Source organism: Homo sapiens, chromosome 10, assembly GCF_000001405.40.
Source record: "Homo sapiens chromosome 10, GRCh38.p14 Primary Assembly".
Classification (NCBI taxonomy): domain Eukaryota; kingdom Metazoa; phylum Chordata; class Mammalia; order Primates; family Hominidae; genus Homo; species Homo sapiens.
Genome location: NC_000010.11, coordinates 5,604,454 through 5,623,118, shown reverse-complemented (window position 1 = coordinate 5,623,118; position 18,665 = coordinate 5,604,454). Strand labels below are relative to the sequence as shown.

At 52.2% G+C, this 18,665-nt stretch overlaps 2 long non-coding RNA genes across 3 annotated transcripts; both read left to right on the top strand.

Annotated features, from left to right (window-relative positions):
- The first annotated feature begins 4,910 nt into the window (after positions 1–4,910).
- On the top strand, positions 4,911–6,501 carry LINC02677 (long intergenic non-protein coding RNA 2677). Of its 2 annotated transcripts, NR_184031.1 has the most exons (3): positions 4,911–5,188; positions 5,719–5,818; positions 5,932–6,501. It is a non-coding gene; the product is annotated as a long intergenic non-protein coding RNA 2677 (long non-coding RNA). The 2 variants fall into 2 exon arrangements; NR_184032.1 differs by having other exon boundaries at positions 5,719–6,501.
- Positions 6,502–12,453: 5,952 nt separating this feature from the next.
- On the top strand, positions 12,454–15,515 carry LINC02678 (long intergenic non-protein coding RNA 2678). The gene is made up of 3 exons (XR_001747275.2): positions 12,454–13,011; positions 13,322–13,432; positions 14,388–15,515. It is a non-coding gene; the product is annotated as a long intergenic non-protein coding RNA 2678 (long non-coding RNA).
- The last annotated feature ends 3,150 nt before the right edge of the window (positions 15,516–18,665 follow it).

Here is an 18,665-nt window from a genome sequence, read left to right as displayed (position 1 = left end):
GGAGCTGGGCCACCCTGATTACAGGTCGTTCAGAGCTGGTGGCCTGGGGGTGTCACACCCCGGGCCTCGGACTTCTTACCTGAAACACGCAGGGTGCCTGCGAAAGGTCTCAAAGGTCACTTTATGCTCTCAATTCTTCTAAAATTAAAATTAATTTAAAAAGACTTTTTCAGCTTTATTGAGGTATAATTAACAAATAAAAATTGTATATATTTAAGGTGTACATGATGCTTTGATATATGTATAGACCGAAATGATTATCAGTCAAACTAATGAACAAACCCATCAGCTCACGTAGCGACAGTATTTCTGTGTGTGTGGTGAGAACACTTAAGATAAAATCTTTTAGCAAATTCCCAGGATACAGTATTATTAACTGTACTCATGATGCCATACATTAGATCTCAAATAACTTACTCATCCTGCATAGCTAAAATGTTATACCCTTTGACTGACTCAGATCTTAATTCTGCAGAAAATGCACCAGGGCTGAAGTGTAAGGAGACAAGGAGGGTCTCCAGGGACCACCATAGGATTTTTTTTTTTTTTTTTGAGACAGGGTCTAGCTCTGTTGCCCAGGCTGGAGTGCAGTAGTGTGATCACAGCTCACTGCAGCCTTGACCTCCTGGGTTCAAGTGATCCTCCCATCTCAGCCTCCTGAGTACAGCTGGGACCACAGGTGTGCGCCACCACATCCAGGGACCGGAGGAATTTAATCCAGTTGAGCCATCAGCCTGGGTTACAGCCTCCTGCCCTGCAGCCTACTCTTCCCAACCCTGGGTGGAATGAGGCCACCCTGTTGGTCAGAACCAGCTCCTGAAAGACCCTGGCAACTTAGACGTGAATCCCAGTGAACTTTCCTCATGACAATGCTAAGTCTCTACCCTGGAAAAGCTGCAGCTTCAGGACCATAACATGCAACCCATGTGCTGGCATGATGACAGGGTCCTGTGCCACAGAGACCCCTGCTCTACATGCGACGATGCACCCTCTGCCCTCTCCATTGCCCCATAATACCCTCCTGTCACTTTCCCTTGGAGAGACACTGCTTTGAGAATATGCCCAGTGCCCTCCTTATTGGAGCCAAGTAATAAACTCATGGATCAAAACTTGCATTCTCACAGAGAGTCATTGTTGCTTGACAGGGGAATGAACCCTGCTATTTTTCGGGTAGCAGAAGCTCATGTTTCATGGCACGGCCAGTTTCTGATACCTGCTTGGCCATTACCTTGGCTGGGTGACGTGAGGCAAGTCACCTTTCCTCTCAGATTCTCTCTTTGTGTGTTGTTGGCCCTGTCATTTCATTTTTTATTTTTGTTTTTGAGACAGTCTCATTTTGTCACCTAGGCTGGAATGCAGTGGCATGATCTCAGCTCACTGCAACCTTCGCCTCTTGGGTTCAAGCACTTCTCGTGCCTCAGCCTCCCAAGTAGCTGGCACTACAGGTACACACCACCATGCCTGGCTAATTTTTGTATACTTTGGAGAGACGGGGTTTCGCCATGTTGTCCAGGCTGGTCTTGAACTCCTGAGATCAAGTAATCCTCCTGCCTCAGCCTCCCAGAGTGCTGGGGTTACAGGCGTGAGCCACCGCACCCAGCCAGCCCTGTCCTTTCAATGGACCCTAGCTTGTCTGGGAGCATTCTTTGTGGGGTGAGAGGGGAGTCCATGTAAACTTTGTTTTCTACCTCCATCCCCCACACTGGCTGAGGAAGTTCTGGCTGGGGGCTGTCTCAGAGGAAGGGGGCTGCCTACAGGGGGCCAGGTGATTCCATCACCCGGAACCTCGAACCTTCCACTGTCCTGCTGCTGAGGCCTGGAGGGACAGTTGAGTCTGGGGAGAAAAAAAGCCAGGAGAACTGTGCCTGAAGTAGAAAGTCCACTAATTTGTCCCACAACCATAACCCTGCACCCCCGGCTCCCACGCGGCTTCGTCCGGACCCGGCAATGAACCGCTTCCCCAGGTGCTTGTTATTTAAACTGTCTCCACCATCCTGTGACTTCTCTTAAATTTAACCATCTTGGTGTCTTGCCATCCGGCCCCGAACAGGGGTGTGGAGGAGTTAGCTGGGTGCTGACGGATGAACGCAGAGTTCTGGGTCCTGCTCCGGGTTCGTTTTGTAGAAATGTATCGAGGGAATGAATCATTTTCATCAATGGGTGTTTTCCCTCCTATCTTTTCATTTCTTTTTGTTTTAGGACATCTTAGTATCTTGGAATTCTGGGAAGGAGAATGTAAACATTTTTCAGAACCAGCATTTTCCCGTCTTCTGTTTGGTCTGGGGCGTGTCTTGGCCTCTCCTGGGATGTGGTGGCTGTGGAAGGCTGGTGGGGGTGCACCTTCCACAGCACCCCGAGACCCTGGGTAGCTCCCACGTGCCTGCTCTTGCTTTCAGCCCTAAGGGCCAGCTGGTGGGGCCGCCACTCAGCTCAGGGCTGGTGCAGGGCGCTCAGGGCATGTCTTTTGTCCTGATGGGCTCTGGAGGCCGCAACCTCAATTCTGCCTTTTGGTTTTCCCAAGTGAAGGAGAAACACCCAGCCCGGGGTGGGTGGGATGACGCTCGGCTCCGAGTGGAGGCTGGAACACAAAGTGAGTTTCTCCGGAGTGTGGGTTCCTCCTCTGCCATGTGGCAGCCTCCCCATTTCTTCCTCCTCCCCCTGTCCCACGCACTCATCAACCACCTAAGCCTAAACCACTTTCCCAGCGGCTCCCTCCTCCTTCCTCTGTGGATCCTGGGACTCTGTGGCCCATGAGATACCTCCAGCTTCCCTGACCTGGAGGCCAAGGTCACCTGCCCAGTAGCCTTAACTTTGGCAGGGCAGGTGTCCCGAGACCTCCCTCCCTGGGACCCCAGCCACCTCCCCCACAGCCTGCCCATTCTCCATCCCCCCTCCCTGTAAGCCAGGCTCCAAAGCCAGTCATAACAAGGCACAAGAAAGGAAAGCGGAGAAAAGGAAAAACGTGTATCTTGGCCTCAACACAAACCTAGAGACGATTCACTTCCAAACCACTGAAAACAAGGACGTGCCAGGGCTCTGATGCAAGGGTCTGATGCCGTGCGCTCACTCCTGGCCTTGCAGAAAGGGGTCTCTGTTGGGGGTGGGGGTGAGAATGGGGAGCGACAAGGGAGGAGACAGTCCCCCCACTCCGAAGCAGGGCTGAAAGTTGAGCCCCCATAGGGCTTCCCACATGGAGCAGGCACAGGGGAGGAAGTGGCTGTCTGGAGGGCAGACTGTCAGGCAGCCTTTGCCAGTCCTGGCCCCTCTTCCCCCTCCTCAGCCCTCCATGCAACCCCAGCCTCTCCCAGAGGGCCTGACTGTGGTTTTTCCTGTTAACTCCGCCTGTTCTTCTTCTGCGGCCTTTGAAGCTCAGCTCTTTCCTTCCATGCTGTAACCTCAAATCCCGGCCCCTCCGCTTCCTTCGGTGGGGGATTGTCCTTTCTTTCCAGGTCCCTGCATCCTTGTCCAGGAGCAGCCATCAGTGTGGAGCTGGGGCTTGGAGATCTTGCTCCCCGCTGCCTCTAGGGCTCAGGGGCATGGCTGCCGACCACACAGGGGCAGGTGGGTATGTGTGCTCCCTGCAGGAGGACAGGTCTGGCATGAGTCAGATGCCTGCTACTGTGGTCTGTGGGACTTGGAGGGGTGTCCCTGACACTGAGCAGCTCCTTTCTTCTCACACAGTTCTGGAAAAGCCCATGAGGGTGGGGCAATTGCTGCTTGGAGATTGTCTCTTACGAGGGAAGAGGAGGAAGGATTCATGCATTCCTTCACTCACTCACTCATTTACTCCTTGATCATTTCAGCACTGAGTGGGCACCTGCACTGTTCCGGTCTCTTTCCATAGATTGAGAGGTGGGCTCTTCCAGATTGACAGATGGGCTTGACATAGTCTCAGGCTCTGTGCACGGGGCTCCTGGGGCAGCTCAGAGCTGCAGTGCAATCAGGTTATACCCCATAAGGAGAAGCTGCCTGGGACCTTGACCCCTGGCCAGCAGAACAGCTGCTGCAGCTGTCACTGATTACCGAGCCTGCGTGGGCCTCGGGGTCGAGTGTCATTTGTCACTCCGGAGAGGACATACTGATGCCTCTCACAGCTTGTGGAGGAAACGTGCAGGCCCGTGGGGTTTCATAGGCTAGCGAGGGCCCTGCAGGCATGACCCAGGCCAGGAGCGGCTTTCTCAGTCTGTCCGTGAGGCCCTGGTCCAGGGAGCCTTCCAGGGCCCGGGCATGTGGCCACCCACTTTCTCAACCTCCTTCCTGAACAAGACACACTTTTTAAGGCTCAGTCTGGAGCTGACCTTCTCCCTGTGATACTTGGTGATGAGAAGTCTTTCCACCTCCCGAGCCTTGCCCTTTTTGGGGGCATGAGATCCTGGGATGTTATTAACCCTCTGAGGCTCGGTTCCTCATCAGCAGCTTGGGAATCATTGTAGTTCCTACCTCCAAAATTCTTAAAAGGCCTGTTGTTATCATTCAACTCTCCAGACAGTTTAAAAGAAAAGTGCTGGAGAAACAGATCATGATAACAGCACATTTTATTGTAGTCTTCTGACGAGCCATGTAGTGAGGTACACCCACTACTTTCTAGGTGTAGAGAGTAGAGAAATCCGCTCAATCCTGAGTTTGATAATGAGGAAAGAGGCCCGGAGAAATTAAGAAATGCATATAAGGGCACACACTGTTAAACAGTAGAGCTGGGATTGCCACCTAGATGTTGGATGATGGAACCCACGCTTAACCACTACCCTGTCCCACCTCCCAGCGAGGGGAAGAGAAACAGCCACAGAGCCTCTGCCTTCTTTTAAAGCACATGGCTTCACCTTCAGAGTGGAATGCTGAGCCCTGCCTGGGCTTGCCCTGCGGCGTTTGGGCGAGGAGCTGAGGTCCTTGCAAAGAGTGGTGTGGTTGGTGCATGGTTGCGTGTGCACTGCCCAGATGCAGAGTGTGGACTTTGCTCAGAAGCACAGCATCTGTGAAGCTTTCGGAAATTATCCCTCTGGCTCCAGCCCTTTCTAGAGATCTCCACGCACATCTCTGCATGAAGGTTTCAGAGTCACTGGATTTCCCAGGGCCTTCTCTTTGCTAGGAATGTCTGAGACGCGCTCTGCAAGATGAGTTGGCAGCATCTCTGTGCCTCTGGTTTTGCCAGGCTCCACCAACATCCCGCTAAGAACTCTTCACCCTCAAGGTAAAACCCAAACTCCTTAGCACAGTATTCAAGGGCCTGCTTCCCTGCCTACCTGCCCGCCTGCCTACCTGCTTACTTGCTCACCTGCCTACCTGCTTACTTGCTCACCTGCTTACCCGCTTGCCCGCCATACTTACCTGTCCAGCTCATCTTCCCCGGCCCTCCTGCTGCTGTTCTGCGTGGGAACTGCCGCTCTCCCATCTTCTCCAGCCAGCCCTCCTCTCTACTGCCGCATCCGCGGCCCTTCACTGTCCTCACGACTGATGCATCCACCCTGGTCCACCTGCCCCAGATGCTCCTTAGGGCAGCAGCCCCGCTGAAGCATCTTCACATTCCCATAGAAAACTGTGGGATGCCAGACAGGGACAAGCACCTCCAAGATGAGGGGATCAGAACTAGAAATGAAAAGGGATTTGTCGTTCATCACCAAGAAAACCAACACGAGAGGCGGGATTGGAACCCTGTCCCATGGCATCTGGGGTCGATTTGTTTAGGGGGCCACGGGGCTTTTTCTCCCATGTCCACCTTAGTGCACTGAGGGGAACCCCAGTGAAGGCCAATGAGGGAAACCACACATCACTGAGGGCCGACGGAGGCCCCCAAAGCTCAGATCGCTGTGCTCGCCAGTAGGTAAGCATCCCCTGTGAAGAAAGCCTACCTTCTCTCTCCCTCCCCAGATCCCCATATCCAGACAGAGTGAGGAAATGCATAAAAACAAAACACAAAACACACTCCTTCCCCAGGTCCCCAGACACCCTTAACACAGCTATCTGCAGGATTGAATGATTGCTGGGACCACACAATTTACACTTGGCTCTCGTGGTCCGGAGGGGAGGACTGCGCCAGCATGAGAAGACCAGAGAGCAAGTAAATGGAAATTTGGCGAGATCCTGTGGCTGCTGTTGGTGGCTGCAGCCAGACAGGAAAACTGAGATGGTGTGAGCAGAAAGGGCTGGAAGGAGTTGGCTTTTTCCAAGAAATTACAGCGGAATCTTCTTCCAAGAGGCTGGGGGCCTCTGCAGACATGATCTCATTACTTACCCCCCAAATCCCCCAGCTTCCCTACGGACCAAGGACCAGGGGTCTCTGCCCAGTCCTAGCTCCAAGGAAACTCACACTTGGCAGATTTTCCTAATCGGAGCTGGCCTTGAAGTTTGCTCACTGATAATCACCAGAAAGTCACCCCAACAATGGGTGATGCCAGAGTGTCCTCAAGCTTCAAGGGTCCGTAAAAACACTTGACTCCCCCAGGACAAAAATGACTGGGGGAAACATGCAGTTCTTCAAAGAGAACGGTTTCATTCTGTACCAAAGGGTGTCTTAATTTGCCTTGGCAAGAGAGGCAGCACCGTGTTGTGGGTGGACAGCACTCGGGGGGTGGACGGCACTCGGGGGGTGGGCGGCACTCGGGGGGGTGGGCGGCACTCGGGGGGGTGGGCGGCACTCGGGGGGTGGGCGGCACTCGGGGGGGTGGGCGGCACTCGGGGGGTGGGCGGCACTCGGGGGGTGGGCGGCACTCGGGGGGGTGGACGGCACTCGGCTGGGTGGGCGGCACTCGGGGGGTGGGCGGCACTCGGGGGGGTGGACGGCACTCGGCTGGGTGGGCGGCACTCGGCGGGGTGGGTGGCACTCAGGGGGATGGGCGGCACTCAGCGAGGCGGGCGGCACTCCGGGGGGTGGACGGCACTCAGGGCATCGGCGGCACTCGGGGAGCCGACCACCCACATGTTGGAGCCTCTTCTCTGCCACAAGCCCTTTGCCAGACACTGACCATTGACACAAGGTGCGTCAGAGCTGGGCCTTAGCAAGCAGGGGCAGAGTTGTGCTTATGATAGGGGCTAAATGAAGTCCTGGAGTTGGTGCAGAAGAAGAGAGTCTAGGGGTCCCGGAAGGCTTTGTGGAGCTGCCGTGCTAGCTGCCATCCAGGGTGCCAGCTATGGGCAGGCACTGTGCTGAGTGACCCCTGGACATCAGCTCACTTAATCTCTGTAACAACCCGGAGTCTGCTCAGAGCATGGCCCATTGGCTACCTAAGTGCGGTGCCAGGCACGGGCCATGGACGTTCCCTGGGTGAATGGCTGACCATGATACCCACTGCAAAACAAGGAGGCTGAAACCCTGGAAGAAAAGAAGCTCATCAGCAGTCCCTGAGTCCGGGAGTCAGATGACAAACCCAGGACCCCAGGGGTTAAGAGTCCAAGCCTGGACACCAGAGAGGCCAGGCTGGATGGGGCTGGGCCTGTGAATGCATGGGTTTGGATATGGAGATAAAAATATTTCAGAGGCTGTTGGGAGAATGAAATAAAATATAAACTTGCTCAGCACAGGCCTGGCCTGCAGTCACCGTGGAATAAATTACCATTCACAGAGCTGCGCTCTGATGCTGGGTCTGTGGGTGCCTGCTGCGGTCATGGTGTGCTTTCCCTGGGCGCTTTCCAGCATCCTCCCTGAGAGCTGCTTCTTCCTAAAGCTTTGGGCTAGGTTTACACATCCTCCTGTGTCAATACAACGTGACGTGTACAGGAACCTAACTACGGCTTTTCAGTGAAGATGTTCATGTTTCTGAGAAAAACAGGCCTATTGAAGTAGCCTCTGTGTTTAAGTTAGAGCCTGGCTTTAACCTGCTGACTGTGGTCATTGAATGACAAACAGAAAAAGTGACCAAATGGTTTAGTAACTTACTCTATCTGAATACTTTGGGAAACAAAATGGACATTTGGGCTAACAATGAAAGGAAGGAAAGAAGGAAGGAAAGAAGGAAGGAAGGAAGGGCCAGGCACGGTGGCTCATGCCTGTAATCCCAGCACTTTGGGAGGCCGAGGCAGACGGATTGCCTGAGGTCAGGAGTTCGAGACCCGCCTGACCAACATGGTGAAACCCTGTCTCTACTAAAAATACAAAAATTAGCAGGGCGTGGTGGCGTGTGCCAGTATTCCCAGCTACCCAGGAGGCTGAGGCAGGAGAATTGCTTGAAGCGGGAGGCAGAGGTTGCAGTGAGCCGAGATTGCATCACTGCACTCCAGCCTGGGCGACAGAGCAAGACTCCATCACAAAAAAAAAAAAAAGAAAAAAAGAGAAAAAAAAGAAAAGAAGAAATGGCTAAAACACCACAACCAAGAAGAATGACAATGAATTGCTAATTAGGGTCCCTTCCAAATATTGGTAAGGATGGGATGTATCTGTTAACTTGGTTAAGATTCTATAGCTTGAGTTTGGTTACTTCAGGAAAGCATGGAATGAATCCCAGCTTTGGTTATGAAATCTGAGATCTGTGAAATTCCAGCACTTTATCCAGCATAGTGAAAGCAACATTCTTCCCCAAGGAAACCAAAGCCCATCCTTGATCCCCACAGGCTCAACCATGCCCTAATTAGAGTGTCTGTTAATCATTTTCCCTTGTTTCCCAGGCTGGTGGGCGGAGAGACCCACATTTGGGATGGTGGGGGAAAGACACCAGTTTCTCCATGTGTCTGTTCATTATGGCGCTCTGTGGTTTGAGATAGATGAAACACATTGGCATGTCCCAGGCTGACAATCTAAGGAAACTGGAGGAATCTTAGCAGCCAGGAGCTGGAGCTGGCCCTTAGCTCAGCTGGCGTGAGCAGCTAAAATGCAGGTGGTGGCTCTGTGGAGAAAAAGAGGCAGTGGCCGCTCCCTTGGAAAAGTCCTCCTCTGTTCCAATTCCCAGTGTTTATTTTGGCCCCAGGCAGAGGGCCCTAGTGGAACAGGGGCAGGGAGGAGGCATTTGGAAACCACAGGGTTACTGATGAGATGGTGCAAAACACACCTAACCAAAATACTGGCCCTAGGGTGGATCAGGGTGGTGCATTTCTGGACTGTTCCATGACCGTCAAGGCCAGTGTGCACAGCTAAACGCAACCAGGTTCCTGGTTCCTGGCAGACCTTGATTTCCTGAAAAACCTTCCACAGAGTGGTCCCAAGCTTTAGCTAGAAGGCCATATAAATCTCCTCCCTGCCCCCACTATGGCCTGCAGCTTCAGGGTGGGTGAATTTGCCTGTGATAAGCAAGGCTTCTGGAAGAAAGACCTGCTTAGGGGAGCAAATGCTTCCTGCCTAGGGGAAGGAGTGCCTTGTGCCCTGGCACAGATGGGAGCTGGGACCTGCGTCCCCCTCTGGCCCCTAGTCCCCCATCCAGGCGCTTAGGCTGGGGAGCAGGGGGTAGCACTTCTCTCACCCCAGCCTTTGATGTCACACAGAGCCCGGGGTTCACTGGAGTAGGGCTGCGGAGGAGGAAACCGTGTGGTCGGGGAGGGGACTGGAGACCTCTGCCCGCCCTTGGAAACGTGCATCTTTCCTTCTGTTTGCTTGCAGGGAGGAGAAGGTGAGTATAGCAGAGAACTGGAGGGGACTTCGGAGTCCGTCTCCCATGGGGCCTAGTGCTGAAGAACTTTTCCCGGTGGAGGGTGGGGTAGGCCCAGGTCATGAAACAGAGCCATTTTTTTTTTTTTTTTTTTTTTTTTGGAGACAGAGTCTTGCTCTGTCCAGGCTGGAGTGCAGTGGCACAATCTCGGCTCACTGAAACCTCTGCCTCCCGGGTTCAGGCAATTCTCCTGCCTCAGCCTCCCAAGTAGCTGGGACTACAGGCACACACCACCATGCTGGGCTAATTTTTGTATTTTTAGTAGAGACGGCGTTTTACCATGTTGTCCAGGCGGGTCTCAAACTTCTGACCTCAGGTGATCTGCCCACGTCGGCCTCCCAAAGTGCTGGGATTACAGGTGTGAGCCACCATGCCTGGCCCACAGACATACTTTTAAGATAGCAGAACCAGGACTGCTGCAGCCTCATACCCAGCTAAGCCTTCGGGTTTCCAAGTAAGACCCAAAGCAGTAAAGATTTCCCTCAATCGGCCAAGTCTTCAGACTGCTCACAGGCAAAAGAAGTGGACAGGGACTCAGCTTCTACACAGCTTCCCTGAACCCTCCCCTGCAGCTTTCTTTTCTTTCTTTCTTTTTTTTTTTTTTGAGATAGGGTCTCACTCTGTAGCCTAGGCTGGAGTGCAGTGGTGTGATCTCGGCTCACTGCAGCCTTGATCTCCTGGGCTCAGGTGATCCTCCCACCTGAGCCTCCCAAGTAGCTGAGACTACAGGCGTGTGCCACCGTGCCTGGCTTTATTTTTTTGGTTTGTTTTTGTTTTGTATTTTTTTCTAAAGACAAGGTTTTGCCATGTTGTCCAGGCTGCTCCTGAATTCTTGGGCTCAACTGATCCTCCCGCCTTGCCTCCCAAGGTGCTGGGATTTACAGGCATGAACCGCCATGCCTGGCCACCCCTGCAACTTTTGATGTCACTTGAAGGCAGGTTCTTTTCTCCCAGCTGAGCTCCAGCTTTCACCTTGAGGGCAGGGGCAATGCCTGACTCTCCTTTTGAATCCTCAGTGCCTTGAAATCTAGCCAAGATGGGTGCTCAGAATGTCCAGTGAATGATGAATAAGGGGCAGGAAAACATAGTGGGGGAGGAGGGAAGGGGACAGAAAGGTTGCCTGCAGGGAGCCTGCAGGGTGGGGAAGTGGAGATGGGAAGGGCACAGGAAATCTTGCTGGTGAGGCTGGAGGACACTTGTCTCTCAGCCTTCTGATGCCATCTGCAAACCTCACAGGTCCCCTTCTGCAGCCTTTCCTGGAGGTTTGCTTAAGAAGGTCGAGAGAGGGAATTAGCCAGAGACAACACGTTTCTCTTCGCAGTGGTTGGAAGTCAGTAGAAGCTGGATGGGGAAGGGCTGGAATGGGAACCCGACTTCAGGTACGTGCGTTCCTCATTCATGCTGAGCCCTGGGCTCTGGACGGCACCACACAGGCCTGCATGCTGGCGAGGCTGGTGCAGAGAGGTGAGTCATCCATTCTTCATGGCACAGCTGTCGCCTTCCTGAAACTCACATTAGACACGCGCTCATAGAATCAAATGTACCACATGCAGCCATTACAGACGGGCACACCAACCCCAGACTGCTGTTGCCAGGTATGTGCGTGGTTCCTCTCACTCGCTGGTCCTGCAGAGCCTGGGGATGTCTGCAAGGATGAAATGAGGTACAGATAAGGTTCACTGAGGCCACTTTTCTCTATTTTTGTGCTAAAGTGACCAAGAATAAAAACTCTGGTCACCTGGTAGCCCCTGCACTAGAGGCCAAGTGTGGTGGCTCACACCTGTAATCCCAGTACTTTGGGAGGCTGAGGTGGGCGGATCACGAGGTCAAGAGATTGAGACCATCCTGGCCAACATAGTGAAACCCCATCTCTACTAAAAATACAAAAATTAGCTGGACGTGGTGGTGCACACCTGTCATCCCAGCTACTCGGGAGGCTGAGGCAGAAGAATTGCTTGAACCTGGGAGGCAGAGGTTGCAGTGAGCCAAGATCGCGCCACTGCACTCCAGCCTCATGACAGAGAGAGGCTCCCTCTCAAAAAAAGAAAAAAAAAAAAGTAAGTCTACATATATTCCAATCAATGGATGCCTGCGAGACCGTGAACCAAACCTAAGCACCTAGAGGCTCCAGTGCATCTGTTTGGCCGGCACATTGGTTGTATCCACTTAGAGAATAACCACTCGCTTAGGAAGCATCCAGCCAGCCCTCCCTGCTGTGTGCCAGGCCTGGGCTGGGTGCTGGGGTGCAGAAAGAGGCAAGGCAGGTGGTGCCTCCCCAGGACCCCGGCTTCTCTCCATGTCCCATCGGGGGGTCTCCTGAATCTGAGCATTTCCCCAAAGCGAGTGCATTTTAAGTTCTTTTACAAATAATATTTCCAAGGACTGAAACCAAAAGGCCCCAGTGGAAAGAAGGGGTTTATATTACCACTCTCCCAGCCCTGCTGCCTAACCTAGAAGCATCAGAGGCAGATGGCTTCTTGGAGGTCACCCAGTGCAGGGTTTCTTTAGGTCAAAAGAGAGTGTGGTGACAGTGTTGTGATGTGTAATGCATTCAGGAGGTGTAACTCAGGCTCTACCTGCAAACCCAGGGTACAGTCTGCTGCTGAGAGGCTGTCAGAGTGGTGAGTAGCCACTCATACCACCTGTCATCAGAGAATGAGGAGCGAGCAGGGGAGGGGCAGGCCGTGTGGCCTCCGGAGATGGCAGCAGACGGAGATCCGGGCAGAGGCAAGTTGGACTTTGTCCCTGGCTATGCCACGGACTCTGATTCACCATTTAGAGAGGACTCACTGGTTTTCTCTTCCTGGGCCGTGCGTGCGTGCGTGCTTGCTTGCTTGATTTCTTTCTTTCTTTCTCTTTCTTTCTCTCTCTCTTTCTTTCTTTCTTTCTTTCTTTTTCTTTCTTTCTTTCTTTCTTTCTTTCTTTCTTTCTTTCCTTTCTCCTTCCTTTCTTTTGTTTTCTTTCTTTTCTCTTTCTTTTTCTTTCTCTCTCTCTCCTTCCTTCCTTCTTTCATTCTTTTTCTTTCCTTCTTCTCCTTTATTCCCTTCCCTTCCCTTCCTTCCCTCCTTCTTTCTCTCTTTATTATCCTTTCTTTCTTTTTTTTTTTTTTTTAGAAAGAAGCACCTGCCTTGCCTCCTTCCCTCCTTTGCCTGTCCAAAGGTGAATGATATGAGTCGGGCAGTGTGCATGTCTTCCCAGAAGAAAAAATGAGGCTCAGATGTGACTCGGTGTCCCCGGTGAGTGGGTGCATCATAAATGTCAGACATTGACTGCACCGAAAAGCCTTCTTGGGCTGTCTTCACCGTCTTGTTCTTGGCTTTGGACTCCTGAGCTGCACAATAAGGATGTGCATGGTGCTGCTGACCGTATGCTCCCCCGACAGTTCCAGGAAGGTGCAGAGTGCTGACAGCCACGCCCTGGAGCTTGCGCTTGCCAGTGCTTAGTGAGTAAGGAATTGTGAGACTTGTACAGCTCTGACAGCTTCTTAGGGATCACATAGCTCAGTAGGTGAGCCCAGCAGTTTCTGGGTGGGGGAGGGCGCTGAGTGAGCCAGCAGTGGAGAGGGGCTGGACAAGATCCGCTGATCACAGAAGAGGAGAGGGAGGTTCTGAGTGACCCACAGCACACTCCACACCCTTGGAAGATGGAGAACCCTTCCTAGCCCCCCACTGAGTCCTGGAGGCAGCCAGTAGAATGTTCTGGGTCTGAGACCCAAGTCATTTTTCACCCTGATCCTGCCCTCTCCTTGGTAGCTCTCAGAACTGACTCCTGAGGGAAGGCAAGTGTTTGAATTGACTTTCTCCAAGGTTCTCACTCTTAGGAAGATGCAGGTGGAGTTATCTGTGATTCTCCCTGTAGGTCAGGTGAGTCCTCAAACTGCTTCCCTCATGGTGATAAAGTGGCTGCCAACACCTTCCAGGCCACATGTGTCTTCGTTCATATCTAGGAGGGAGATGGCTTCACATCCCCCAGACATAGAACAAAGCCCCCAAAGAAGAGGACTTGCTGGTTTTCCATTCTTTGCTTTCCTAGTTCCTTAAGTCCTGGAGGTAGTGGGTTAGAGTCAGAATGGACAAGTAATTCGTTGTCCAGATCAGGCCCTTTCCAGAGTGATGGGATGGGTGGTGCATGTGATAATGGTGCTGGGATGGCAGAGGGAGCCGGTCACCTTGGCCCTTGTGGGGGACCCAGGAGAGCTGAGTGGAGGTCCAGCTCTGCCACTGGACTTCTGGGGCTCAGTTTCCTCCTCTGTCAAATGGTGTCATTTGATTGTGATACTTTTTGTCTCTAGTTTCCTAATGAATGCCAGCTGCTTGACAGAATGCATCTCATTTTGAAGGGAAATGTCCACTGCATTTGTTTTAAAATATCTCCTGGAAAAGGGAGACCTTCTTAGCAGAATTTACCATTTAAGGAGCCAAGTGGTATTGCCAGCAGCAGGCACTGGTGACATCTGCCCGCACGGCTGGCCGGGGTTTGAGAGTGAAGCATGGGAATCCTGTCTCCTCTGCCCCTGCTGCCTTGAGCAGAGAAGGAATTTCTCAGGCTCTCGTTCCCAGAAATCATCCCAGTTACGACTCGAATGCAACCTCCCCCTCCCTGCCCACCCTATCGGGCAAAACAAACCTAACAAAACTGCAAATGATCTAAGACCAAAATAGATCTTTCTGAATTTTAACCTTGAGGGCATGGTGGTTCATTGAACCCAGCTGCCAATTCGTCTTCCCAGCATGCGTGGCCTTTCGGTTTCACCCTCTTCTGTGCCCGTGACTGACATGTCCCCTTTGTCCTAATGCTGCCAGCCCTTCCTCCTTGCAGTGTCTCTGGGATGCCTTCCCCTTCCTTGACCTCCATGGGGCCTTCCTCAGCTGATCACTCACTGTTCCTGCCTCCCAGCCGATGGCTCTGATTCTCAATGGCTTCTGCATAGTGAATGCTGTCAGGCAATCTTCCTGGATATCTCCTTCACGACGTTGCTCCTTCTGCCTGAGAATCTGTAACGAGCACGGAAGGTCTCTGGATGTTGTGGGGACATGCTGGGTTGTTCTGATGGGCCTTTTGGGGGCTCCTGTCCGGTGCCCCGGGAATGTCTGTGTGGGAGGACTTGGTGTGGCAATCTGGTTGGAAGGGAGGGGTTACTGTTGTAGAAAGCACACCATCTTTACCTCCTGCGTCGTCATAAAGCCATGAAAAGAGTAAAAGTTTCTAAAGGTGATTTTATTAGAGTGCTTCACAGTCCAGCTACAGAACATCCACATCCAACGACTGTCAACAAGGGCTTTGTCAGCTCCCACAGCTAAAACACACCAAGGAAGTTCAGGCATCTGGGTTGATTTTCTCCAAAGCTCTTGATCCTATGAGGCTGCAGGTCGAGTTATCTGTGATGCTCCCTGTGGGTCAGGTTAATTCTCAGCCTGCTTCCCTCATGGTGATAAAGTGGCTGCCAGCACCTCCTGGACCATGAGCATCCTTGTTCACATGCAGGAGGAGGGAGACATCTGCCCTCACGGCAGGCCGGGGTTTGAGAGTGAACCTTCCCCTAAACATAGAGCAAAGCCCCAAGTTTCCCTCTGAAAGGATTCATTTAGGTTTTTCGTCCATCCTCGAAACCACATCTACAATAAGAGAAGTCACTGCAGGTGCCCGGGGTGCCCTCCTGGAGCCTTGGGGGTGTGAGCACCTACCCCACAGGCCATTGCTGAGTGACCGTGGGTTGGTGGGGGAGCCCTGTGTCACCACAGCGTAAGATGGAGAAACCACATCACAGGGGAGCAACGCTAAGGGATGGCCTGACCGAGAGGTAGGTGGAGACTTTGTATGTGTGGGGTACACACACCCCAGCTCCTGCCCAGCCCCAAAGGCTGTTAACTGGGCATGAAAGTGCTGGCCCAGGGCTGGGTGCAGGCTCATGTCTGTAATTCTAGCATTTTGGGAGGCCAAGGTGGATGGATTGCTTGAGCCCAGGAGTTCAAGACCAGCCTGAGCAACATAGTGAGACCATGATTCTACAAAAAATAAAAAATTAGCCAGGTGTGATGGTGCATGCCTATAGTCCCAGCTACTTGGGAGGCTGAGGTGGGAGGATCGCTTGAGCCAAGGAGGTCAAGGCTACAGAGAGCCAAGATCGCACCACTGCACTCCAGCTTGGGCAACAGAGCTCTGAATTTGTGTGATCATGGCTCTCTGCATTGATTCTGTCGCCAAAAATAAATAAACAAACAAACAAATAAATAAACTAAATAAATAGATAAATAAAGTTCTGGCCTAGAAAAGGAAGTGGGTTTGAGAAATAGTTGGGGTGGGGAAGGAGCTTTCCTGAAAGAGCCACCTTTCCTTTGAAAAAGGAGAAACGATGGCTCTGGAAGGACCCCCTCTGGAGTCAGACTTGAGTCCAAGCATACTTTTGAGGACACATCAAGTGTACGGAAAACGAAGGAGGGGGTACAGGGTGGGGCCTGTACCTCCCGGGGTTCCCCAGTTGATGGCATCCTGTGCCTGCCTTTCAGGAAGGAGCGGGTTTCCTTCTGGTGCACAGCTCTGCCTCCCTGGTTGCCTGCTGCCTTTCTGAAAGTCCCCTCTTGTGTATGCATCAGCCCCCGATTGATACGGCCACAGAGTAGGTGGACACCTGCATGCCTCAGTTTCCTCACGGAAGAAGCAGAGATGCGTTCACAGGGAACCACGTAAGGAGCTTCTAGATACAAGCCTCACCCCTGAGGACAAAACTGACTTTCCTCAGGACCCAAAAGTCCCGGGGATTTTGGTTTCTTTATGGCCGGGAGTCAGGAAAGACCCTGCCTGCCCAGTGGCGAGGACACGTGGCCTCTCCTTCTCTGCTTCCTCGGGACAGGAAATGGCAGGCAGCACCTCGCTTTAATCCATGTCCAGCCCAACACCCCTTCCTATGTTGGAAAACTCATAGAATCCATCCGGGGAAGAAAAGGTGCTGCAGTTCCAGTTGCAACGACACCCTCTGTTCACTGCTGCCCGGGCCCTGTGGCACTGGGTAAGATGGTGGGTGGTGGGAGTGGCTGTATTTTGGGAGGCTCCCATGCACGTTGTGTGACCGTGGGGTGGGGCACACAGTGGCCCCTCAGGGGCATGTGGTTTGGTGGACTCCAAGTTCACAGCAGTGAGACCCACTGAGTCAGTGGCGGCAGTGAGGTTCCAGGAGCCTGGCTTTTCAATGCCAGAAGACATATTGCTGAGGGTCACCTGAAGCTGGAATTGGACCAACCCAGGAAGGATAAATGAGACACTTGCAGAACCAGAAGGACCTTAGTGATCCCCAGTCCCCTCCTTTGAGTTTATACAGAGAGAGACAGGGAGACCCAGGGAAGGGACAGGATTTACCCACAAAACTAAGCACTAGAAAAGGTTGGAATTTGACTTGAACTCTTGAACCTATTATGTCCTCATCTCCAGTCCTGGGCCTGTTATTGCGAATACATTATGTAAATGGAGAAACTTAATGTTTTAAGGAAATTATGGCTCAAATAACATACACTATTAACTATTTTAAGGCCTAAAAAACAAAAGAAAAACAGGTTGGGCAACCTCATCACTTCTTTGTTCTTGGTTTTCACGTCTCAACAGGGTTCTTCCTAGTTGGGGTGGTCTGGAGTCAGAAAGGCCCCCAGGGTCTCCCCAGATTTTAGAATTCTAAGGCCTAACCCACAAGTCTGTGGTTTGGAGTGAATTTGTATGGGTTGGGGGTCTCCTTCAAGTCACTTAATGCTTTCAGAAAATGTGAAAAAAATTAGTGGGGCATGGTGGGGTACACCTGTGGTCCCAGCTACTCTGGAGGTTGAGGCGGGAGGATTGCTTGAATCCAGGAGGTTGAGGCTGCGGTGAGCTATGATAGCGCCACTGCACTGCAGCCTGGGCAACAGAGCGAGACCCTGTCAAAACAAACAAACACACACAAACCAACCAAACAAAAAAAGCAAGAAAATGTGACCACATGTGAGAGAGGAGAAGGAGGAATGAGGATGTTAACATGCTGGTGAGGTCTTTCGGAGGCCTTTTGGTCATCAGGGTTTACACTGGGGAAATTACGTGCATAGAATGGGAAGTAAGAGAACGAAGAGGGTCTTTCGAAGGTCAGCCCCACGAGGTCCACGCTCGCTCCTTGATCATGATTTTGGTTTTGTTTTGAAAGCCAGTCTTCCCATTTCACTGCCTTATGTAACTGCATGGGCTTGTTTTGAAGCTGGATTTAATTTTAGGTGAAGTTATACATATTTAGACTTATTAGGCCTCATGAGGAGTGAAACTCAGTCTGGCTGGTGCTTGCCCTGGGAATTAATGTGGTGTTTTCATCCGAGTTCTGGAAATCAACTGCTGCAGGAATATGTCTTGGATCCCATACTGGTGTGATCCCACCCACCCGGGACGCTGTGCAGAGCTGGCCCCGAGCCTGCACCTGTCTTTCGTTTTCCTACACTCGATGTGTCCTCAAGAGTGTATTTGGACTCAAGTCTGACTCCAGAGGCGGTCCTTCCAGAGCTACTGTTTCTCCTTTTTCAAAGAAAAGGTGGCTCTTTCAGGAAAGCCCCTTCCCCCCACCAACTACTTCTCAAACCTACTCCTTTTGCTGGGCCCAAACTAACTTTTTCTTTCCTTCCTTCCTTCCTTCCTTCCTTCCTTCCTTCCTTCCTTCCTTCCTTCCTTCCTTCCTTCCTTCTCTTTCTTTCTTGCTTTCTTGCTTTCCTTCTTTCTTTCTTTCTGTCTTGTCAATGCAGGGAGCTATGATCACACTGCTGCCCTCCACCTCTGTTGCCCCAGCTGGAGTGCAGTGGTGCAATCTCAGCTCTCTGTAGCTTTGACCTCCCTGGCTCAAGCGATCCTCCCACATCAGCCTCCCAAGTAACTGGGACTACAGGCATGCACCACCACATCTGGCTGATCCCTTGTGCCTCAGTTTTCACCTCACCTTTCAGGCCTTTCTAGGAAAAAATCCTGCAATGAAGCTTGTGGAGATCCTTGAAGATGAGACCAGTGGAGCCTGGTCTAACCCCAAGGCGAGTGGGGAGGCCCGGGCAGGGAGTGCGTGGGGGCTGCACTTGCTGTTTTCCACGCAGCACCAAGGATGGC